Here is a 24,380-nt window from a genome sequence, read left to right as displayed (position 1 = left end):
ATAAACAATTAGAGAGAAAGAAAGGAATGAAGGATATACAAAGCAACCAGAAAACAATTTTTAAATGATAGGAATAAGTCCTCACCTATCAATAATAACTTTAAATGTAAATAAATCAGATATCTACTTAAAAGATATGGACTGTCTGAATATATAAACATAACATGATCTAACTATATGCTGCTTACAAAAAACCTCACTTCACCTGTAAACACACAGATAGACTGAAAGTGAAGAGACAGAAAAAGATTTCATACAAATGGAAAACAAAAACAAGCAGGAGTATCTAAATTTATATCAGATAAAGGAAACTTTAAGTCAAAACAGTAAAATGAGACAAAGAAGGTCATAATATAATGATAAAGGGATGAATTCAGCAAAAGGATATAACGGATATATATGCATCCAATACTAGAGCACACAGATATAGAAAGCAAATATTATTAGATCTAAAGAGAGAGACAGACTCCAATACAATAATAGTTCAGGACTTCAACACTCCATTCTCAGCATTGTACAGATTATTGAGAGAGAGAATCAACCAAAAAAATTGGACATAAACTGCACTGTAGACAAAATGTACCTAGGAGACATTTACACAACATTTTATCCAATAGTTGCAGAATACACATTCTTCTAATAAGCACATGGAACATTCTCCAGGATAGACCATTTATATTAGGCCACAAAACAAGTCTCAACAAATTTTAAAAACTTGAAATCATATCAAGATTTTCTCAGATCCTGATGGGAAAAACTAGAAATCAGTAACAAGAAGCACTTTGGAAACTGTACAAATAGATGGAAATGAAACAATATGCTCCCGAATGACTATTGGGCTAATGAAGAAATTAAGAAAGAAATAAAAACAATCTTAAAGCAAAGAAAAATGAAAACACAATATACCAAAACCTATGGAATATAAGAAAAGCAGTGCTAAGGGGAGGTTTATAGCAATAAACACCAAAAAGTATAAAGATTTCAAATAACCTAATAACGTACCTCAAGGAACTAGAAAAGCAAGAACAAACCAAACAAAATTAGTAGAAGGAAAGAAATAATAAAAATCAGAGCACAACTAAATGAAATAGAGAAAAAACATACAAAGGATCATAAAAATGAAAGGTTTTTTTTTTAAAAAAATAACCAAAATTGATAAACTGCTAGCTAGACTAACCAAGAAAAAAAGAGAGAAGATCCAAGTTAACAAAATCAGAAAAGAAAAATATTTTACAACTGACACCACAGAAATACAGGAGATCACTGGAGACTATCATGAACAACTATATGCTAACTAACTGGAAAACCTAGAGGAAATAGATAAATTCTTGGACACATACAACCTACAAAGACTGAACCAGATAGAAACAGAAAATCTGAACAGACCAATAATGGGGAACAGATTGAATATGTAATAAAAAGATTCCCATCAAACATTAAAGAAAAGCCCAGGGCTGCATGGCTTTACTGCTCAATTCTATCAACCTTATAAAGAAGAACTAGCATCAATTCATCTCAAACTATTCCAAAAAATTAAAGAAGAGAGAATTCTTCCTAACTTATTCTACGAGGCCAGCAGTACTCTGATACAAAACCAGACAAGCACACAACAAAAAAAGAACACTACAGACCAACATCTCTGAGAAATACAGACACAAAAATTTTTAACAAAACACTAGCTAACAAAAATCCAACAACACAACAAATATATAATACAACATGATCAAGTGGGATTTATCCCAGGGATGCAAGGATGGGTCAATATATGCAAATCAATTAACACGATACATCACTTTAGTAGAATGAACAACAAAAATCATATGATCATCTCAATAGATGCAGAAAAAAGCATTAGATAAAAGCCAACATCCCCTCCTGACAAAAACTCTCAACAAATTAGGCATAGAAGAGGCATTACTCAACATAATAAAGGTCATATATGACAAACTCACAGCTAACATACTGAATGAGGAAAAGTTGAAAGCCTTTCCTCTAAGAATTGGACCAAGACAAGGATGTCCACTTTCACCACTCCTATTCAACATAGTAATGGAAGTCCTAGCCAGATTAATCAGGGAAGAGAAAGAAATACAAGGCATCTAAATGCAAGGCATCTAAATACAATGCCCCTCCTTTCAGATGACATAATCTTACATATAGACTCCACCAGAATATTCTTAGAACTCATAAAAAAATAAGTAAAGGTGCAGAATACAAAATGAACATAAAAAATCAGTGACATTTCGATACACCAATAATGATCAAGCTAAGAAAGAAATCAGTAATATAATTCCATTTATAATAGCTACAAAAAAATAAATAAAATACCTAGGAATAAATTTGACCAAGAAGGTGAAAGACCTCTACAAGAAAAACTACAAAACACTGATGAAAGAAATTAAAAAGGACAGAAACAAATGGAAAGACATCCCATGGTCATGGTCATGAATCAGAAAAATAAATATATTAAAATGATCAACTATGCAAATAAATTTACAGATTCAATGCAATTCCTATCAAAATACCAATGATAGTCTTCACAGAAATAGAAAAAAAAATCCTAAAATTTGTATGGAACCACAAAAGAGCCTGAATAGCCAAAGGAATCCAGAGCAAAAAGAGCAATGCTGGAGGCATCACACTACCTGACTTCAAAATATACTATAAAGCTATAGTAACTAAAACAGCATGGTAGTGGTATAAAAACAGACACAGAGACCCATGGAACAGAATAGAGAACCCATAAATAAATCCACATATTACACCTAAGTGATTTTTGACAAAGGCATCAAGAACATACAGTGGGGAAAGGACACTCTCTTCAATACATGGTGCGGAAAAACTGGATATCCATATGCAGAAGACTGAAACTAGATCCCTCTCTCTCACCATATCCCCAAATCACTCAAAATGAATTAAGTACTTAAAAATAAGGCCCCAAACCATAACAATACTAGAAGAAAACATACGGGAAATGCTCTAGAACATTGGTCTAGTCAAAGATTTTATGGGTGGGGCATGGTGGCTCACGCCTGTAATCCCAGCACTTTGGGAGGCTGAGGCAGGTCAGGAGTTCGAGACCAGCCTGACCAACATGGTGAAACTCTGTCTTTACTAAAAATACAAAAATTAGCTGGGTGTGGTTGTGGGCACCTGTAATCCCAGCTACTCAGGAGGCTGAGGCAGAAGAATCACTTGAACCTGGGAGGTGGAGGGTGCAGCGAGCCGAGATTGTACCGTTGCACTCTAGCCTGGGCAACAAGAGCGAAACTCCAACTCAAAAAAAAAAAAAACCTAATAAACAAACAAAAAAGATTTTATGGCTAAGTCCTGAAAAGTACAAGCAACAAAAACAAAAATAGGCACATTGGGCTATATTAAATTAAAAGCTTTTGCAGAGCAAAGGAGACATTCAAAAGAGTAAAGAGACAACCTGTTGAATGGGAGAAAAAAATATTTGCAAACTATTCATCCAAGAAGGGACTAATATGCAGAATATACAAGGAACTCCAATAATTCAGTAGCCAAAAATAAACAATCTAATTAAAATGGGTAAAGGATATGTGTACACATTTCTCAAAACCAGATTTACAATGGCCAACAGGTACATGAAAAAATGCTCAACACCATTAATCATCAGGGAAATGCAAATCAAAACCACAGTGAGATATCATCGTACCCAGGTGGAATGGCTATTATCAAAAAGGCAAAAAACACCAAGTGCTGGAGGGGATGTGGAGAAAAGGGAATTCTTATACACTGTTGGTAAAAATGTAAGTTAGTACAGCTACTATGGAAAATAGTACAGAGATTTTTCAAAAATCTAAAAATAGAACTATCATACAATTTAGCAATTCCATTAATCCAAAGGAAATCAGTATATCAATGCAATACCTGAATCCTCATGTTTATTGCAGCACTATGCATAATAGCAAAGATATGGAATCAACCTAAGTGTCCTTCAACACATGAATGGGTACAGAAAATGTAATATATATAGGAATACTATTTGGCTGTAAAAAAAAGAATGAAATCTTGTCATTTGTAGCAACATGGATAGAAACAGATCATTCTGTAAAGTGAAATCAGCCAGGCACAGAAAGACAATATCACATGTTCTTACTTACATGTGGAACCTAAAAAAGTTGATCTCTTAGAGGTAACGTATAGAATGACAGCTACCAGAGGCTGAGAAGGATGTGTGTGTGTGGGGGAAGGGATGAAGAGAACTAAGGTACTGAGAACAAACATACAGTTAGACAGAAGGAATAAGTTCTAGCATTTCATAGCACAGCAGGCTGGTTATATTGTATATTTCACAACAATATATTATATATTTCAAAGTAACTGGAACAGAAAATTTGAAATGTTCCCAACACAAAGAAACAATAAACGATCAAGGTAGTGGATATGCTAAATACCCAGCTTTGATCACTACACATACTACGCATATATTAAAATATAACATGTACTTCATGAATATATAAAAATAGTATGCAGCAATAAAAATTTAAAAAGTTCAGAAATAGACAGATGTATATATTAATTTAATATTAGTAAAGGTAGAATTTCAAATAAGAGGCCAAATAAGAATTATTCAATAAATATGGAGGGGACAACTGGTTAATTACAACAACAAAAAATAAGTTAGAGTTCAGAAAGCACTAAAAGAAAATAGAAGTTCGATAGATACACTTATTGTGGAGTAGGGTTTTTTTCTTCTTTCAGAGACAGGGTCTCAGCTCTGTAGCCCAGGCTGGAGTGCAGTGGCATGATCATGGCTCACTGCAGCCTTGACCTCTTGGGCTTAAGTGATCCTCCTGCCTCAGCCTCCAGGGTAGCTGGGACCAAGTGTGTGTTACCACACCTGGCTAATTCTTTTTTATTTTCTGAAGAGATGATGTCTCACTATGTTGCCCATCTAGTCTTGAACTCTTGGCTCAAGTGATCTTCCCACTGTGGACTCCTAAATTGATGGGATTACAGGTGTGAGCCACTGCACCTGGCCTGTTTTAAAACAATTGTATAATATGGCAGTAAGTCACTCAGATGTAATTATGTAGTATGTAGCAACTGTGAGATAAGAGACTGAAGGAAATGGTAAAGTGCAGGGTTGGAGGAGGTAGATTTTAATTGGCTACTGAGATCATAGGACTGAACTGCAGTGATGAAGGGCACAGGGAAAAAAAAAGTAAAAAGACATATATCAAATACTAGGTTCTATTTGGATGGTGGAATTATGATAATTTCAAATTCATTTGCTTAATAAATTACCTGGTTATAAGTATATGAAACATATCTCAACCAGAAAGGAAAATGGAGCCTGGGCCAATCCATCTAATCTTTCTCACCAAACTGCTCTTCCTTTTGTATTCTCTATCCAAATTCAAATTTTAAGGGTGATAAAACTGATGCTTTAGAGAGGTTAAATCGTTTGTTCATGATCATACTGCTAATGATTGGTTGATCAGGGATTCAGATCAATGTCTACCTAACACCACAGTTCATTCTCTTTTTTTGCTGCCTTTTGAGACAGAGTCTTCCTACTCCCAAAATGCTCAAAGCATAAAAGTTAAGAAGATGATACACGTAAAATTCATGAAAATCTTGTGAAACAATTTATTGTTTAGTGGTTTGGAGTTTCATTTTAAGAATCATGTCAAAAGGACTTTAAAGGGATAATGTGACCTGGAATTGAGAATCTGAAGAACCTGGGATCAAATATAGGTATTATTTAGCAGCTGCATGATTATGTTTAAATTAATTAACCTCTCTGAGCTGATTTCCACATCAGTAAAATGGGGAAAATGGTATCACTTATTTCACAGGATTATTTTGAAGACTGAAAAGAGAAGTTATAGGGAGTTGCTTTTATTAATTATACAGTATTGCATTGGTGTTAGCAAATTTAGAAAAAATATAAAAAATAAAGTTTTTTATGAGATCTAAATCTATTTTAAAGTGCTATCAATCTTGTTATTGACTATATAACATATCTATTTGCGATAATAATGCTGACAGCCATGATTCATGAACTTAACAGAGAGTTTCTGGATCCCTCTTGTGAGATAGGCTGTATTGCATTCACATTGTTTTGGTCTGGCTATATGTTCTTTTTGCTGCATTTTAAAATTCTTTAATTGTTTTGTTTTTGTAATCTTTATTTATTTATTTATTTCTTTGAGACGGGGTCTTGTTCTGTCACCCAGGCTGGAGTGCAGTGGCATAATCACAGCTCACCGTAGCCCCAATCTCCCAGGCTCAAGTGATCTTCCTGCCTCAGTCTCCCAAGTAGCTCGGATTACAGGGATGAGCCATCATACCCAGATAATTTTTGTATTTTTTGTAGAGACGGGGTTTTGCCATGTTTGCCAGGCTGGTCTCAAACTCTTGAGTGAGACTCAAGCAATCCACCCACCTTGGCCTCCCAAAGTGTTAGGATTTCAGGTGTGAGCCAGGGCACCCAGCTTGTTACTGTAATCATTTGTAAAATATATAAATTAGAAAAACTGTGCTTTTAATACTTAATTAGAGCATTAAATTTTTTTTTCCTTAAGGAAACTCAATCATGTAGTTGCACAGCATTATTAAAGATGACATGTCTCTAAAACATTAGAAGTTTTGGTTTTATGAAAAAAAAGAAGAAAAAAATTAAATATATTCAAAATGAAAACACTTTATTCATGCAAATCATCTTTAAGCATGTAAGAAGCAAAATGAGAGATAAAGGTAATTCAGTGCAGCAAAATCTTTTCTTAAATGTCTCAAATTATTACAAAAGTGAAATGATAACTGCTATCAATTAATATAGTACTGTTACCACAACTGTCATACTGGCAACTTGTGTAGCAAAAAACAAAACAAAACAAAATACTAGTTTCTTTTAAATATGCTACAGTTTAGCTGGGGTTTCTTCTCTATTTTATTATGGTGGTATAATAATGCCAGCGATTAACTTGATCTATACTTATATTCAAGTCTTCAAGTTGCCTGAATTTCTAACTCTAAGAATCCCTTTAGCGAGCAAAGAGTCAAACAAAAGACCAAACAAAACAAATCTCAAAAACTCAGGTGCAAAGTTATTCTGAATTTCCACATTTCTCACAGTATAGTACTTTTACATTTATTTATACGACCATCTGACTAATCTCCCTGTCCCCTGGAAGTATAAGCTTCATATGGGCAGGAATAAAGGTTGGTTTTGCTCATCATTGTATTCTCAGCACCTTGCAGAATACCTAACATACAAGCAGGGACCTGATAACTATTTGGAAAAAATCTTACGTGAATAAATAATTGTTAAAAGGAAAAAAGTAGTAACTTCAGATAATTTGCTTTGACCTTCCAAAAATGCATGAATTAAAACCCCTAATTTGTATGAATTATGTTCAAATTAGCTTTCAAATGGATAAAGGAAAGCTGTATCTCTAAAGAGAGACCAATATGCCACAAGAAGGTGAAAATGAAGACTAACAAGGAATGAAACTAGCAATTTAATGTTATTATATATCTGGCACATGCCAATTCTGGATGGGCAACTACATTTATTTATATATCTTCCTAATGTGGCTTCACATCAGTTTTGAAAACCCTTAGGACATTGTCTAATATATAATTTCCACAGTTTTGTGAAGCGTAACAAGCATAGATAGGAAAAATTTAACAAAGGAAACATTTCAGGTTGATGGTCAAAATAGCATATATGCTTTCTTTTTAAGCTAGGTAAGGCCAGGTGTGATGACTCATGCCTGTAATCCCAGCTCTTTGGGAGGCCGAGGTGGGCAGATCACTTGAGGTCAGGAGTTCAAGACCAGCCTAGCCAACATAGTGAAACCCTGTCTCTACTAAAAATACAAAAAAATCATCCAGATGTGATGGCATGCACCCATAGTCCCAGCTACTCGAGAGGCTGAAGCAGGAGAATCACTTGAACTGAGGTGGCGGAGGTTGCAGTGAGCAGAGATTGTGCCACTGCACTCCAGCGTGGACTACAGAGTGAGACTCCACCTCAAAAAAAAAAAAAAAAAATTCTAGGGGGAAACTCATTTTTAAGTTATGGGCTGTAAAGTACTTTAGATCCTGCACAAGATTAATTCAAAAGGTAAAAAAATTAAAACTATGTGTTAAGTTGAAAATATCTCCACCACATATAATTTAAACACCAACTTTAAAAAAGCTTTTAAATTAAAAAAGAAAGTCTCACCTTCCTCTGGTAAATAGCAATCCAATCTGTCGTGGCAAACCACTTGTGAGTTTTTATATCACTGACACCATTCTTTAGATTTCCAAATCTCTTGGTCAAATCCACCTGCAGCAGGTTCCGTAGAAGGTCCTTGAGATCTGAACTGAAGTGGGATGGGAATCGGACCTACACAAACACACCATTTGGTAAAACACACATTCTAAGACTCATGATATTTCTGTTTTGATTTCATAAAGTTTTTTTTTCAAGGCAACAAGCCATTATATAAACAAAAATATGGAGCGATGACCTTCACATACTTTTAACTACATGTTACAGTCCCCACAGTAGCCATAAAGAAGAGAATTACTTGGGTGAATGAACTAAACCTGTTCTCTTAGGGCCTTGCTTTGGTTATGATGTCTTTAAGAACATGGAGCAGTCTCCAGAAAAATGTGCACACCTACAGAACTTTTGCAAAATATCAGAAAGTTCACCTATCTTTAAGAGCAATCTCTTTGGATCATACATTACAAACCTGTGTCTCAAAGATACATAAATTTAACTTTGTAATATAAATAGAAGAACCAGCATATGAAGGAAATCAGTATGTACATTTTGAAAAGAGATCTATCAAAAAGGAAGTCTAAAAATGGTTGTAAAAACCCACACTGCCTTTCACAGTATAGGAAAACATTTTTCATTTATCAGAAGTTGGCTTTTAAAAATAATTCTCCTATTATGCAACAGTATAAAAATGATTTAGATTGGTTTAAAAGCATTTTTCTACCTACTAAATTGTGAAGACTTTACAATTACTAGACTGGCCTCTGGCCTTAAAAATAAATGGAAAACCCCCAAATAAGTGAAGATTTTTGGCAATCGATAAGGTTAAAGTAACATTTATAGGAGACCTAAGTCTATTTTTCATTTTGTTTTGTTTAAACACATTCTTCTCCTCTATACCAATCTAACTTCTGGTTATTACTGTTTCATTGATATGGGTACCTAAAAAATTAAAATGGGTACCACCAAAGGATGAAGGAATAGCTGCATCTATGCCTCCTTATTCTTTTTTGTCATCACTACCACCTCTCCACTATCCTTTCCAGCTTGTGTTCAATCCCTTTCATTACCCTCTTCCCTGTCATACATACATATGTATGCACACATGTATGTGTATACATATCTGGATTATTACAGCCTCAACTACAAATTGATCATAGCACTTTGTAGAAAACACTTTAAAGGGTTAAGAGGCGCATCCCCAAACTCTCTGCATTCTTATTTTGTTTCTCTACAAGTGCTACCACTACAAGTACTACCATCACTTCATAACTTACATAGTGCATCATTACATTACCTCAGTTGCTCTTTATAATACATTTATTTATTCAACTATGCTATAGTATTTGTGCATATTTCTGTCTCCCCCAGGCTCTGAGCTTCTGAGGGAAGGTATTGTGCCATTTTTATTCTCAGTATTTATTAGACTATTTCAAATACTGTAGTTCATCCATTTTACAATTATTTATTGAATACCTACTATATGCCAGGCACTATTTTAGGTGCTGGATATATAGCAGTGAGCAAAACCTGGCAAGTCTCTGATTTCATGGAACTTACATTCTAGTTGGATAGGACAAATTCAGTGAATATGGTATTAACTCCAATTTAAAGATGGAGAAACTAAGATTCAGCAATGTTACTGGGTATAGCTTCCCCAGTCATCAGGCCATAAAGTGGCAGAGTTGGGACCAGTAATCTAGTCATGATTTGTAGCTTCATGAATTTTGCTCTTTATTACACTGTCTTCAAATATATAGACTCCTTAATTTATATTCTGACTTTCTAAAAGCTCAACCTACTTGACATACATTCTCATGTTCTCAAAGTAGAAGTTAAATCATGCATGCAAAGATAGGTTTTATAGTAAAGTTAAATTCATAACCATAGCTTTTGACTGCCACTTTTGTGCTAGTCTATAAGTAAATTTTTTCAAAATCTGGTCCTAGGACCCATGCACATCAGAATAAACTGGGAGACAAAAGGATAAAAATGTAGATTCCTGTGGCTTGCCTCAGATGATGGGGGCATTGGGCCTGAAAATCTGAGCTTTTATCTCCAAGGGATTCATATGTACATAAAAGCTTGAAAAGCACTATTCTCAACTCTGTTCACTACTTTATGCAGAGGTTTTATTTTCTATGCTAGTAAAAGATCATAACATTTTAAATGTAAATAATACAGTACTGTAAATTGAAATCATTATCATACCAGAGGAAAACTAATATTCTATCAACAACTAAAGACTATTTAAAGGGTTAATAGTTAATAAATGACCAGGATTTAGGCTCAACTCATATAAATTAGCAACTCAAAATCTCATTTTTGCAAGGCCCTTTATTATCCTAGATTATGAGCAGTTTTATGTTCTAAAATAATAAGATATGTGAACTTCTACCTTCTCTAGTTTTATTCTTGACACAGTGGTTTACTAGAAGCTAGGCATTATGCTAAACACTTTCTGTACTGGCTCATAAAATCCAAAACATAGGTATGATTATTATCCAAATTTCATAGGTAGGGGTGAAGCAATTGAGACCTACAGAAATTATTTTGCCTAAGATTACAGAGCTAATAAATAGTAAAGGTGTAATTCCAAACTGGGTACACTGACTTCAGGGTACTTATTTTTAATTATCTATTCTCCTTCCATGATTCAATAACCTAAAAATAGTCATTATCAGGAACCTTCTAAAAGACTGAAATTTTCTTAAAAATATTTTGCTGCACATTTCCTCATTTACCTAGATGAAGTAATAACTAGAGAATAAGGGGTTTTCAAAAGGCACACTGTCTACTTTAAAAATAACATGACATTTTTCCAGTGGGTATATTAGCTCAGATTTTTCCAGTGATAAATCTAAACTTTATTTAGATTCCAAAGAAATAATTTATTTGAAGTACATCTATATTTAAGATTAAATTTGTGTGAACTGTTCCATGGTAATGTACCAGTTATCTCTTTCATTACATTCAGATGGCAGACAGTAATGTACTACATATAAATTATCTTTGGAATTCAGGTAATATGCAGTGGAATGCATGAAAAATAAAATCATCTAAATAATGTAATTCTTTATTTTGGAATGCAAATAAAGTGATGGTCTTGAACGTGTGTGTGTGTGTGTGTGTGTGTGTGTGTGTGACAGTGGAGTGGTGGTGGGTTGTGACAGCAGATATCAGAACGATTTGGGAACCTTTTCAAATCATAGACATATCCTCCTCACCTCCATATCACACCCTCTTCCCCAGAGATTCTCATAGGTAGCCCACACTCTCATAGTGGTTCATGTTAATAATGGGAATCCATCACATATTTAAAGTATTTTGGGGGAGAAATAATGAAAGTCATTGTGAAAGTATTTTTTCCCATGATTATTCTGAAATTTAACCTGAAATGTAATTTCCTTGTTGACTGAACTTTTCAAAGAGTCATGTTGATTTATCAAACTGGAATTAGTGAAAAACAGAAAATAACTTCAACAAAATTGTTTTAAGTGTACAACCTTTATTTGTAATACATCAACCTGGAGACACTAAAGATTTCTATGATGGGAAGAGCGACTATCTAATTTTTCCTTTAAAACTATATCAAAAGGGTATTACTTTTATCATTATCAATTATAACTACTATAGAAAGTGAAATGAGAATCTTCTAATATTGGAGCTAGAGGGAGCTTAGTTTAATTGAGTCTAAACTCTCATTTTAAAGATAAGGAATCTGAGCTCCTGTGAGGCTACCAACTCCGTTAGTAGAATTATTGGGAAAATAACCTAATCTTCCTGACATATACCTATGAGCTTTCTGCCAGTCCAAGATAGGCAAATAATGTGAAAGTAAATGTAAAGAGTCAGATATTGAAAAGAGAAAGTCTAAAATCATTAAGCCATTAGGTCTGAGAGATAAGGTTATGGGAAACTGGCATCATTTAACATGGAAGAGGTGTTTGTACAACATAAAAGAGGTGTTTGTGATATATACACTTCCCAACGTGTTTTCTTTAATATTTTTTCTTCAATATTATTTATTGTTTAGGATTGTTTTCCAACCATTAGAGACCATATTACTTCTGATTTTTCTAATTATATTTTCTTGAGAATAAATCTAATTCCCCAGTGAGGTACAGATACACAAAACAAGCTCTCAACACATGGTGTTTATCAGAATCACTTGTGATACTTAAAAAAAGTTTTGAATCCACAGAAGGCCTCTTGAGTCAGTATGTCTCTGGAGAGATACCAAAGATAGAGTACACTTCATGAAAGCTTCATGAAGGCAGAGACCACAACTGACTTGCTGTATCCAGCATGTAGAACTGGTCTGGCACATACTAGGAGCTTCATAAATATTTAATGAATGCATGAATTGAAATTCAACAAATATTGATTGAACCTCTACTATGTGTTATGCTTGAATTAAGCAAGTACTATGTGCTTACTAATATATCTCAGGAATTTGTGCTTGGATTATATAAGTAAACAAAATAAGATGAAGATTTCTGCCTTCATGGAGTTTACATTCTAGTGAGGAAGACAATTAAAACTTAGCAACCGAGTGATCCTTTAACAATGTTATCCTATCTTTTTCATGAAACTTTGCATAGTAAGGTCTTCGACTTTTACTCTGAAGAAAACGGGGAATCCTTGCAAGGTTTTGAAAAGAATAATAGGATATTATTTAACATTTTTAAGGAACCACTCTAGTGACTCACTTAAGAGTGACAGCAGTGGATGTGGTAAGAAGTGGCTGAATTCTGTAAATTCTAAAGACAAAGCAAAAATGGTTTCCCTGTGCATTAGATATGAAGTGAGGACTCGAAGGTGTCTTGGCCTGACCAACTGAAAGGGTGGAGTTGCCATCAGTTTAGATGGGGAAGGCTTCGTGGAGGGGGGTGGGTGGAGTGTAGGAAAGAGGACAAAAACTTGTCAGTTTTAGACAGGTTGAATTTGAGGTATCAGATATCCAAGTGAAGATTTCAAGTTAGAAACTAGATACAAGAGTATGGAATTTGGGAATCAGGTATGGACTGGAAAAATGAGTTTGGGAATTGTCCTGAGTCATGAGACTGGATGAAACCACCCATTGAGGAAGTGCATAGAAAGAAGAGAAGGGGATCAAGCCAAGGAGATTGAGAGGGAATGATTAGTGATACAAAGTCACTGAAGCCAAGTGAAGGAATAACAAATGAATCACTGAACTAGATTCTTCTATTTCCTGCTTTGCCACAAACTACCTTTTGTCTTTGGGTAATTCTGAGTTTTGATTTACCTACATATAGGACTAGAGAGTTAAATGAAATAAAAGTGAACATCCTTGCCACCTAAAAAATTCTACCAAGCTATTTCTTTAGTAGAAAGAATTCCTGGGTTCCAATCCCAACTCTACTTACATACATGCTCTGCAATCTAGGGAAAACTTTTCTGAGTCTCAGTTTCCTCATTTATAAAACAATGAGAGTATATCTCATCTGGCAGGTATGAAAAGAAATTATGTGACTTAACATGAAACTGCCTTGTATTATGCCTAGTATTCTGTAGACATTAATTCAACACAGTTTTTATTTTTTAAGCCTTCCCATTAGAATACTATTTTAATGATCTGAAACTGAATTTTTGAATTAAAGAAAGAACGTAGAAGACAGCCATATCTATCATTATTTTTACAGATGCGCCAAGGACAGTCTGTGCTAGAAAAGTCATTGGGAAAGTATAGGAAGTTCCTCCTTTCATCTTGTCTCAGGCTCCACCTGTTAATTTATAGAATAAACACTTTCATCTTTTCTTAAGGTCCTAAGTTTGATAAAGTGAGGGAGAAAATGTCTTACTATAAATTTGTTTTATAAAGACACCATTGTCAATATGGCTGATATCCTAAACTACTGTCAAATTACATTATGTAATATGTTAAACGAACTATAAAATTCACTCTGAATTGAGCAAACTCAACAGAATATTTTTTCTGCTTTCAGCACTGATTATAAAGTCTTGTACATTTGAGTTTTAGAAATAACTATTATCTTCTAAAAGTTCAAGATGAAGTTACAACCAAAAAGTAAATCCATTCATGTTGTTCATGGTATCCATACTGAGTGATTTAAACTCACTATCTAGTTTACTGACTTCAAATTACTACTCCCAGTAATTTGAGACGCCAAGACAGGTGGATCACTTGAGGTCAGGATTTCAAAACCAGCCTGGCCAACATGGTGAAACCCTGTCCCTACTAAAAACACAAAAATTAGCCGGGCGTGGTGGCACATGCCTGTAGTCCCAGCTACTCAGGAGGCTGAGGCAGGAGAATCACTTGAACCCAGGAGGCAGAGGCTGCAGCGGGCCAAGATTGTGCCACTGCACTTCAGCCTGGTCAACAGAGCAAGATTCCATCTCAAAAAAGTAAAAAATAAAAATGAATAAGAAGAAAATGAAATAAAATAAAGCCAAATCAAATTTGTTTACACTAAGCTTAATCACAGAAATTACAAAGTTGATATTCGAAAGGAGGGAAAAATCTTACTGCTATTCTGCAATTATTGGCAGGAGAAATGATCATTTAACTAGTAACATTATCTTTTATGAATCAGGATAAAATTATTAGGCTTACATGACTCAAAAGGGTTTATATACAGCCAAGAAGCAATAATCTACTAACTACTGGCTACGAGCATGTTGAGATAAATTTTAACAAATTATTTATAAATTAGGTACAGTAAGTTCTCAAAATATCTGCAATCCCAGTAAAGAATTGATTGATCAAAAATGAACATACACATTAGACAATTTTTCAACAGGCATAATAACTTTTCATACGCTAGGCATGTTATAGATATGGTGCCGAGTTCCACACTACCTCATAAGACCTGGGCATCTTTAATCAGCCTGGATTCTATATGTGAAAAGAAAGAGCTAAGACATTAAAAATATTTATAAATATTGGTACTGCATCTGTGGGCTCTCTAATCTGTTCCCTTACCTATGCAGAAACAGTGGTAGATATAATGAGTCTACAAGGTTGCAGAGGATTATGATCCACCCCATTCTCCCTCCCCCTGCTCTCACATAAGAAGCCAGTTTTGCAATTATTTGCTCATAGGACCACAAGAGCTGTCAGAAAGAAGGTATTAATAAGAATTTTAAATAGCCACAGTGAAGTGTTTAAAACTGGCCCTGGGTTTTATGAAAAGAGTAAAACTGCTTTTGTGTTTTATGAAAATGATTTCTGAATACTTCTAAGTCTCTTTAACTATGGCCATAGCAAAATAGTAAATGACATTGTAATTTCCCCAAAAGCATTAACAATAGTATCTTAGAAAAAGTATAGTGGAATATCTGCATATGTGTATGTTATTTAGGAAACCGAATGTGTGTAGAAAAGACTTAACATAGTAGGCCTGAGACTGCTACCCTTAGAAAGAACTGCTTACAAGTTTGGCCCTTGAGAGATGTCTGGCAACTTGAATAGTACCAGTGCCCTTATACCAACATGAAACTTTCCCTAAAGGATTAGAGTGGCTCACTGTGCCTACACTGTTGGTACAAACAACATAGTTTATTCTGAACAACTACTTTTGTTCTGGGAGGCTGGGATTTTGGCATGTGCTAGGCAGAGGGTGCATATGTGACCAACCCCCAATGAAAACTTTGGGCATTGAGTATTTAATGAGTGTTGCTGGTAGATAAAATTTCACGCTTGTCACAGCTTGTTGCTGAAGGAATTATGTGCATCCCTTGTGAATGCCCTGGGAGAGGACTCTTGAAAGCTTGTGCCTGGTGTCTTCTGGACTTTTGCTATCTTCACTTTGTACCCTTTTGTTGTAATAAATCTTAGCCTCAAGTACCACTGTATGCTGAATCTTGTTGAGTCCTCCTGGTGAATCATCAAACCTGGAGACAGTCTTGGGGACTCCTGAGACAGAAAGGAATAGCAATTGGGCTGATAATCAATTACCCTTCATGTAAATATTGAATTTCCCTTCAGGAAAAATTAACCAACTCTTTGATCATTCAGTATATACTTATGTTTATACTTCTCTATGTTGCATGTCTCCTTATATATTGTTACTCATTAGGAGTGGAACAATATTTACATTAGATATGTTGAAGCTAAGAATTTTTTTAAATTACATAAGCCAAGGGCTCTAAAGTTATGGTTTCCATAGTAGCTGTTACTTGAGTACCTTATTTGCAAGTATAATTTTTGACTGCAATATAAACTTTCTATATTTCCATGGGTAACGCAGCCAGACAAAGGTGCTATAGAGACCATAACTGATTCTTGTCATGGAGTACATGACACTGAGACATGAAATTTAAAGACTACATACAGAAACTCAGCATATGTATTGTTAGGATGAGGCATAGTTAATGCAGGAATCATAAATCTTTTCTTTCAACTATGAATTTGTAGACTCAAACCTTAACATTGCATGAATAATGTGACATTTAAATACCACCTCCTCTGTTTTTTTAAAGGCAAAATATGTGTAGGAGAGAATCTAACAAGTTGATTGATCATCTTTGTGTGCATTTAAAAATACCAGCTTGAGTTAAAATATTGTAATAGAGAAAGTATTTTACAATCTAATATTCATATATATGTACTTTAGTGAATTTATCACTTAATTAATAAATTTAACTTTGATAAGTCATTGATACCTATAATCTTTATAACGTGACTTCAGAATGGTGGATATAATCAATATAAGATGCTGTTTCATAAAATAATATGCTTCTAAAATCAACAAAAACAATTCTGAATGAAAAGCATATTCTTAAATGATATATCATTAAAACCATTAAAAGTTCAAATGCAAATATAAATATAAGGATCCACAAATATAAGACCAAATTGGATTTTTAATAATTTGCACAATTTAAAAAATTTAAAAAACTAGTTAGTTTCCAATTTGGCTTTTAGCCACTAACCAGAGAGACAATAATATTTTTGCAATGTGAATAGAGACACATTCTAGTTTGAATTTGAGTTTTGAAACAGATGATTTATTGGGAAATGGTTAATACAATCTAACTTCACATAATACAGAGCCTTTTAATGGCAAAAATTCCACTTTCATGACTTCTACTTTAGATGAGTAAAGGGAGTAAGAGATGGGGATAATTTTATATCCCACATGGGGAGAGATAATCTGGTACTTTTAGTTAAAAAACAAAAGTACACCAAATATCCTGTCATATTTCTAAATAAATGAAGGGGAAAACAGAATATTGTGATATAATAAGGTTTTCTGGTGTCATTCTTCTAAGGTGCCCAGGATTTAGACTGTTATGATTTTAGAATATATGCTGATTATTAGATACAAAATTTTAAAGTTTGATATAAAATGAATATATATTCATAAACAGCTGAATATAAAATTTAACCAATAGAGAATGATTGGCAAATCGAGGCCAATGCATAAAAATGAAGACACATTAATTTTAACTAAAGCAGTTTTTCTTAATAAATGTAAATTTAGTTATGACAGTATCCTTGTTAGAAAATTGGATTTCTTATATGAATATAAATAAAAGTAATATAGTAAAGATTCAAGAACTTTATAATTACTGTCAATTAAATGATTTGAAACAATTATTATAACATTTACATTCTTAGTTTTTGTATTAGTAAAATATTCTTCTTCCATTTGTGATTTTAATGTATTTTGGTTCTCTCATCATTCTTCATATGACCTTTAGTCCTCTTGAGAGTCTACACTTCTCAAATTCTTCAAAAATAAATCACTGCCTTGTCTGTTAATTTTTCTCAAAGTTTTGTTTTGTTCATATCAAAAGTTCTGCTGGGAGAAAACAATTACAAAGATAAGAAGTCTGAAGCCAGAGATCTACAAATGTAAGAAGAACAGCAGTGATACTGATACTTGTTTAAATAAGTACTGCATTCTGCTTTTCTGTATTGCCTTTATCAGTGCACAGCATTCAACACCTAGCTAGGTTTATTTATCTGTAAGAGGTATTTATTTTTTTACCTTTGACATAGTTGGAGTATAAATTCTTTAGTCAGTCTCCTAATTTGTGAATACTGATAATAAATAAAACTTTCTACATAAAACGTGGCAAAATACAAGGGAAAATCTCATGACCCAGGTAGAGTGCATATGTACTATGAGATAGGGAACAATACTGTGCTGAAATGTATGTTCTAGGTGATTGGATAGACTAATTCTATTGGCAAATGTCTTGTTGCTACAGCCCAGCTGTGCAGCATCTATGATTTAAATTTGAGTGTTGGCAAAAAAAATAAATTACCACATTAGAGACATTCAGGGTACCTTGTGAATAGTTAACAATGGAAATTGTAAGTTGATAGATGCCAAGGGTAAGCTTTCACACTAAATGTAGAGCTTGAATATGGCTGAGATACAAAGAAATAAAGACCTTCCCTCTACTATCTCCTTCCGGCTTATCTCTGCCTAAGAAGGTCACAAAATACAAAGCAAACAAATAAAAAATAAAACAAAAAAACCTCAACTCTATAACATCTCAGGCTAATGTGATAAAGATTGATGCTCTATTTCCTGATCATATTCTAAATGGGACTATGTGGGAAAGAAAAGAAAAGACAAAGCAGTACCACATGTAGAAATAGAAAGAAGGGAAAATAAGCAAAATATCCCTTCCCATATATTTTGTCATTAATGTATAGAAGGTCTCCTTCTGGGAATGTTTAAAAGCCTATTCTTTCATTGCTGCATGGTAGGAAATTCAAGCTCATTTCTATTGAATTGACAATGGTCTTTTAAAAAAAGATCCGAGGTCTGAGCTAAGGCAACAGCAAATGACTGACCCTAAACAAAACACTCTTGAAAGCAAATTAGAGGTTATAAGTGCAAAAGAAGGAAGGTTTATGAAGAAATTTACAAAATGTAAAATACTACAACACAGTAAGTCTACTCATGTTGAAGAAAAATTAATGTTATTTCCATGTTTGCTAAAAACCAATGACAAGTATAATCACAATCTATATGAACAATTCTGTTAAAATCAATTCTATAAATTTCCATCTGAAAAAGGCTTATTCATTTTATATTTACTTTTACTTCCAATGTTATAGTATTGGACATAATTAAAACAAGAAGTCTCTCCTGAAAATGGAAGGGCATATAAAACAGCCCCTAAAACTTTTCTCCATGAAGATAGACACATGAAATAATAAACTATTTTTATTTATTTGAAGGAATATCGAGAATTATGGCTATGATCCTGTTCTTTGTGATAAAAATACTAAATACAGAAATTGCTTTACTGTTTTGTTAATTTCTTTATAAAACTGCCCTTTTTTTCTTAAGAGACTGAAATGATTCAATTCTTATGATAGTAAGAGCAGCAACTGTAGATTTTTCTATATTTTTCCCAATGTAGAATAATAATTATGACACAATATAGTTTCAATTCATGAAGCTTAAAATTCATATACAGTAATAAGAGAGGAATAATAAAATGTTTTACTTACCTTTCCAGAAACAATCTTTTCATAAATCTGAATTGGTTGGTCTGCAAAGAATGGGGGATAGCCAGCTGCCATTTCATAGATTAGCACTCCTAATGCCCACCAATCCACTGCCTTATTGTAGCCCTGAGATAAACCAACACCAATGTCAATTGTTACTTAAGTTACTCAAAAGAGAATGAAGTCAAAGATAATTTCAAAATGATCTGGAAGCATATAAAAATTTTTTTAAAGCAATTGCTGAGCAGCTATTCAGGACAGAATTTAAAAATGAACCAAATGTATCAGGTCAGATTTAAATTAAACAAAGGAGAGGATTTCCAGATACTGAAATTGGATATTAGGAAAGAGTATTAAATCTTCTTCCTAAAATTATTAAGAATATTATAGACAATGAAATTTTCTTTATTTCACTGGTATAATTTAGTTCTTGCTCAATAACAGGAAGGCAGTTAGACCACATTACTTCTTAAGGCCCACTCTAGGTCCATAATCTTATGAAACAGATTTTCCACAGCATGCCTAGAAAGATCAAAAGTTTTCAAAGAAAATAATAGAAACTGGACTACATAGTAAATAATGAAGTTGACTTCAAAATACTCTATATTTTTGGAGTTAGGAGGGTGAATGTGCTAGGGATAATCCCATCTGCTTCATAGGATTTTGTGAAAGCAAAAAGTTTAATGTAAAATTCAATTCATGTAAATATTTAGGTATACTTTACTTCTGCTATCTACTGTCTTGCTTCCTATATCTAAAAGATATGCAGGAAAAAAATGAATTCACAGAGTTTTGTGAGGACTGTATCAAATGAAAGGGAGTAACGTGTGTAAAAAGTGCTTTGCAAACCAAATGTAAAAATCACAGGTTATGTTTGTTTTTTTCATATTAAGCTTACTAAAATTAAAATTTGTAAGTATTCATAAGAAAATAAATAAGAATAACATCTTCATATTAACATGCTAATATAGTTTATTAACTATGGTCAGTATCAACTGACACAAGAGATTTTTTAACAACCCCAAAAACCTGTCATGAAGAGAAATAAGCTGAATTCTACCCAGATCTATTGCTCTGCCCTCAGAGGTACCCTCTACCATCACGACTCACCACATTCCACCCTTTTGTCAAAATTTTAGCTTTACAAACTACTTAGTTTTCAAAATTCTAGCAAAAATATAATACTTTAGCGCTATAGAGATTTTCTTTTTCTCTTTTTTTTCCTGATACTGTGTATATCTTTTTAAGGGAAGGAGTGGTATAACAGGAATAGCACTTTGTTTTTTAATAGAAATAGGCATTAACTCTCTTTAACTTTTTGATTCATATGTTTAAATTGTGTGCTAATGTTTATAGTAAATATGTCAGACACAAGTTAATACCCAAGGTATAGAAATCAAAACACATCAATAAGAAAAATGTTAAATTACAATAGATAAATGGGCCAAGGAAATGAACTAATAATTTACAGACACATAAAGAAATACCAAATGGCTATTAACCATTTGAAAAATAAATAAAAAACATGAGAATTAAAACAATGAGATACAATTTATTGCCTATGAAATCAGTAAATATTTTAAAAATGAGTATACCCAGTGATAGTGTTATGAAATAGGCACTATAATACACTAATGGTAGAAGTGTAAAATGGCATAATAACTTTGGAAAGCAATTTGGCAATATGTATCAAAAGCCTTAAAAATGTTCCTATTCCTTGACCCAGTAATTCTACTTCTGGGAATATATGCTAAGGAAATAATGTAAAATAAGGAAAAAACTTTTATGTATAAGGATGTTTATCATAGTTATTTATAATAATAAAAAAATCAAAAATAAAACCTGAACACTCAACGATAGAAGAGTGGCTACATATTTTATGGTACATTTACAAACAAGCCATTAGAATGATGTTTGCATGCTTGTTATTATAAAAGTGAAAAAAGTCAGAGACAAGACTATATATATTTACTATGATTTCAACTATGACAACCCAGAAATAAGTCCATACACCTACGACCACCCGATCTTTGACAAAGCTGACAAAACCAAGCAATGGGGAAAAGTTTCCCTACTCAATAAATGGTGCTGGGATAACTGGCTAGCCACATGCAAAAGACTGAAGATAGATCCCTTCCTTATACCATATACAAAAATCAACTCAAAATGGATTAAAGACCTAAATGCAAAACCCCGGAGTATAAAAACCTTGAAAGACAACCTAGGCAATGCCACCCTGGACATAAGAATGGACAAAGGTTTCATGACAAAGACACCAAAAGCAATTCCAACAAAAGCAAACACTGTCAAGTGGGATCTAATTAAACTGAAGAGATTCTGCACAGCAAAAGAAACTATCAACGGTAAACAGACAACCTACAGAATGGGAGAAAATATTTGCAAACCATATGCATCTGCCAAAGGTCTAATATCCAGCATCTATGAGGAACTTAAACAAATTTACAAGAAACAAACAACCCCATGAAAAGGTGGGCAAAGGACATGAACTGACACTTTCTAAAACAAGACATACATGCGGCCAACAAAGATATGAAAAAATGCTCAATATCACCGATCATTAGAGAAATGCAAGCAAGTCAAAACCACAATGAGATACCATTCCACACCAGTCAGAATGGCTATTACTAAAAAGTAAAAAAATGGAAGGGCATAGTGGCTCACCCCTGTAATCCCAGCACTTTGAGAGGCCAAGGAGGGTGCACCACTTGAGGTCGGGAGTTCAAGACCAGCCTGACCAATATGGTGAAACCCTGTCTCTACTAAAAAATACAAAAATTAACCAGGTGTTGTAGTGCATGCCGGTAGTCCCAGCTACTTGGGAGCCTGAAGCACGAGAATCGCTTGAACTCAGGAGGCAGAGGTTGTAGTGAACCGAGATCACGCCACTGCACTGCAGCCTGGGCGACAGAGCAAGACTCCATCTCCAGAAAATAAATAAATAAATAAATAAATAAACAAATAGTCAAAAAATAACAGATGCTGGCAAGGTTGCAGAGAAAAGTGAACACTTAGACACTGTTGGTAGGAGTGTAAATTAGTTCAACCATTGTGGAAAGCAGTATGGAGATTCCTCAAAGAGCTAAAAGCAGAACTACCATTCGACCCAGCAATCCCACTACTGGGTATACACCCAGAGGATTATAAATCATTTCATCATAAAGACACATGCATTTGTTTATTCATTGTGGCACTATTCACAAAAGCAAAGACATGGAATCAACCTACATGTCCACCAATTGTAGACTAGACAAAGAAAATGTGGTACATATACACTACGGAATACTATGCAGCTATAAAAAGGAATGAGATCATGTCTTTTGCATGAACATGGATGGAGCTGGAGGCTATCATCCTCAGCAAACTAATGCAGAACAGAAAACCAAATACCACATGTTTTCACTTGTAAGTGGGAGCTAAATGATGAGAATTTATGAAGACAAAGAAGGAAAAAACAGATACTGGATTCTACTTGAGGGTGGAGGTAGGGAGGAGGGAGAGGATAAGAAAAGATAACTATGGGTACTGGGCTTAATTCCTGAGTGATGAAATAATCTGTATAACAAACCCCCATGACATGAGTTTACGTCTGTAACCAACCTTCACATGTATCCCTGAACCTAAAATGAAAGCTAAAATAAAGCTAAAATGTGTGTGTATATATATATATATATGCATATATATACATATATGCATATATACGCATATATATACATATATGCATATATACGCATATATATATGCATACATATGCGTATATATGTGTATATATACGCATATATGTATATATACACATATACATATATACATATATGCGTATACACATATATATGAATATATATGTATATATACACATATACATATATACACACACACCACACATATGTGTATATATATACACATATATACACATATATGTGGTGTATATATATACACATATACACATATATACATATATGTACATACATATATGAATGTTTTTAAAAAGGCTGCGTCTAGGTTGGTGGGATTACATATAGGTTTTTTTTTGGTTGTTTGTTTATGTTTTTCTGTATTTTCTAAATTTTGTATAATGAGTATTACTTTTACAATATATACACATTTGTAAAAGTTTTAGTGCTCATTTTGTTGTCCCATTATTTGTTAACTGTATTTAAAGAAATGTGTTAACTACAATGATATTTAGATTATAAAATATCAAGAAGTTACATATTATTTAAATTATGAAAGATAATGAGAGAAAAGTTGAAAGAAATCTTTTATTTTAACACTTCTATAAGTTAGCCATATTTCAATGATTCCATTTGGGAACCAGTGAAGCATGTGTCTTATCCCCTTCCTTTTCCTCTCTCCTATTTGTGCCTGGTTATTGTTAGGTTCTCCTTTCTAGATTTCTCCACCAAGTGATGGCAGAGGAAAAGTTAACCATTCTTTTGGATATAGGTACAGTTTCTCTCACCACGTTTCACTATTTAGAAAAGCAGAGCTGCCTTCAATAAGACTAAAACTATTCAATTGCTGTTAATAGTCCTATTTAAAATTTAAAAACACTTCTCATACATTCCTTTTATTTAACTGGTAAATTTGAAACAAAGAAAGAATGGACAACTAGTACATATCATCTCTAGATTTACCTCTTGGTATAATCCA

The 24,380-nt window shown here is 33.6% G+C and overlaps 1 protein-coding gene across 36 annotated transcripts in view; it reads right to left on the bottom strand.

The window, feature by feature from the left end:
- Nucleotides 1–24,380, bottom strand: part of PRKACB (protein kinase cAMP-activated catalytic subunit beta) — a 160,420-nt gene that overhangs the window by 15,978 nt on the left and 120,062 nt on the right. For 15 of the 36 annotated variants that reach the window (NM_002731.4, NM_182948.4, XM_047424681.1 and 12 more), the window contains 2 exons: nucleotides 19,716–19,838; nucleotides 8,204–8,368 (listed from right to left, as the gene is read on the bottom strand). In NM_002731.4, the coding sequence (NP_002722.1) occupies nucleotides 8,204–8,368; nucleotides 19,716–19,838 (288 nt within the window). Of the gene's footprint in view, nucleotides 1–8,203; nucleotides 8,369–11,736; nucleotides 16,152–17,083; nucleotides 18,043–19,715; nucleotides 19,839–24,380 lie in introns of those variants that run through there. The other 21 variants (NM_207578.3, NM_001300916.2, NM_001375569.1 and 18 more) reach the window with 3 other exon arrangements.

This window comes from Homo sapiens, chromosome 1, assembly GCF_000001405.40.
Source record: "Homo sapiens chromosome 1, GRCh38.p14 Primary Assembly".
Taxonomy (NCBI): Eukaryota; Metazoa; Chordata; class Mammalia; order Primates; family Hominidae; genus Homo; species Homo sapiens.
Note: the sequence above shows the minus strand (reverse complement) of the source record. Positions and strands in the feature narration are given on the sequence as shown.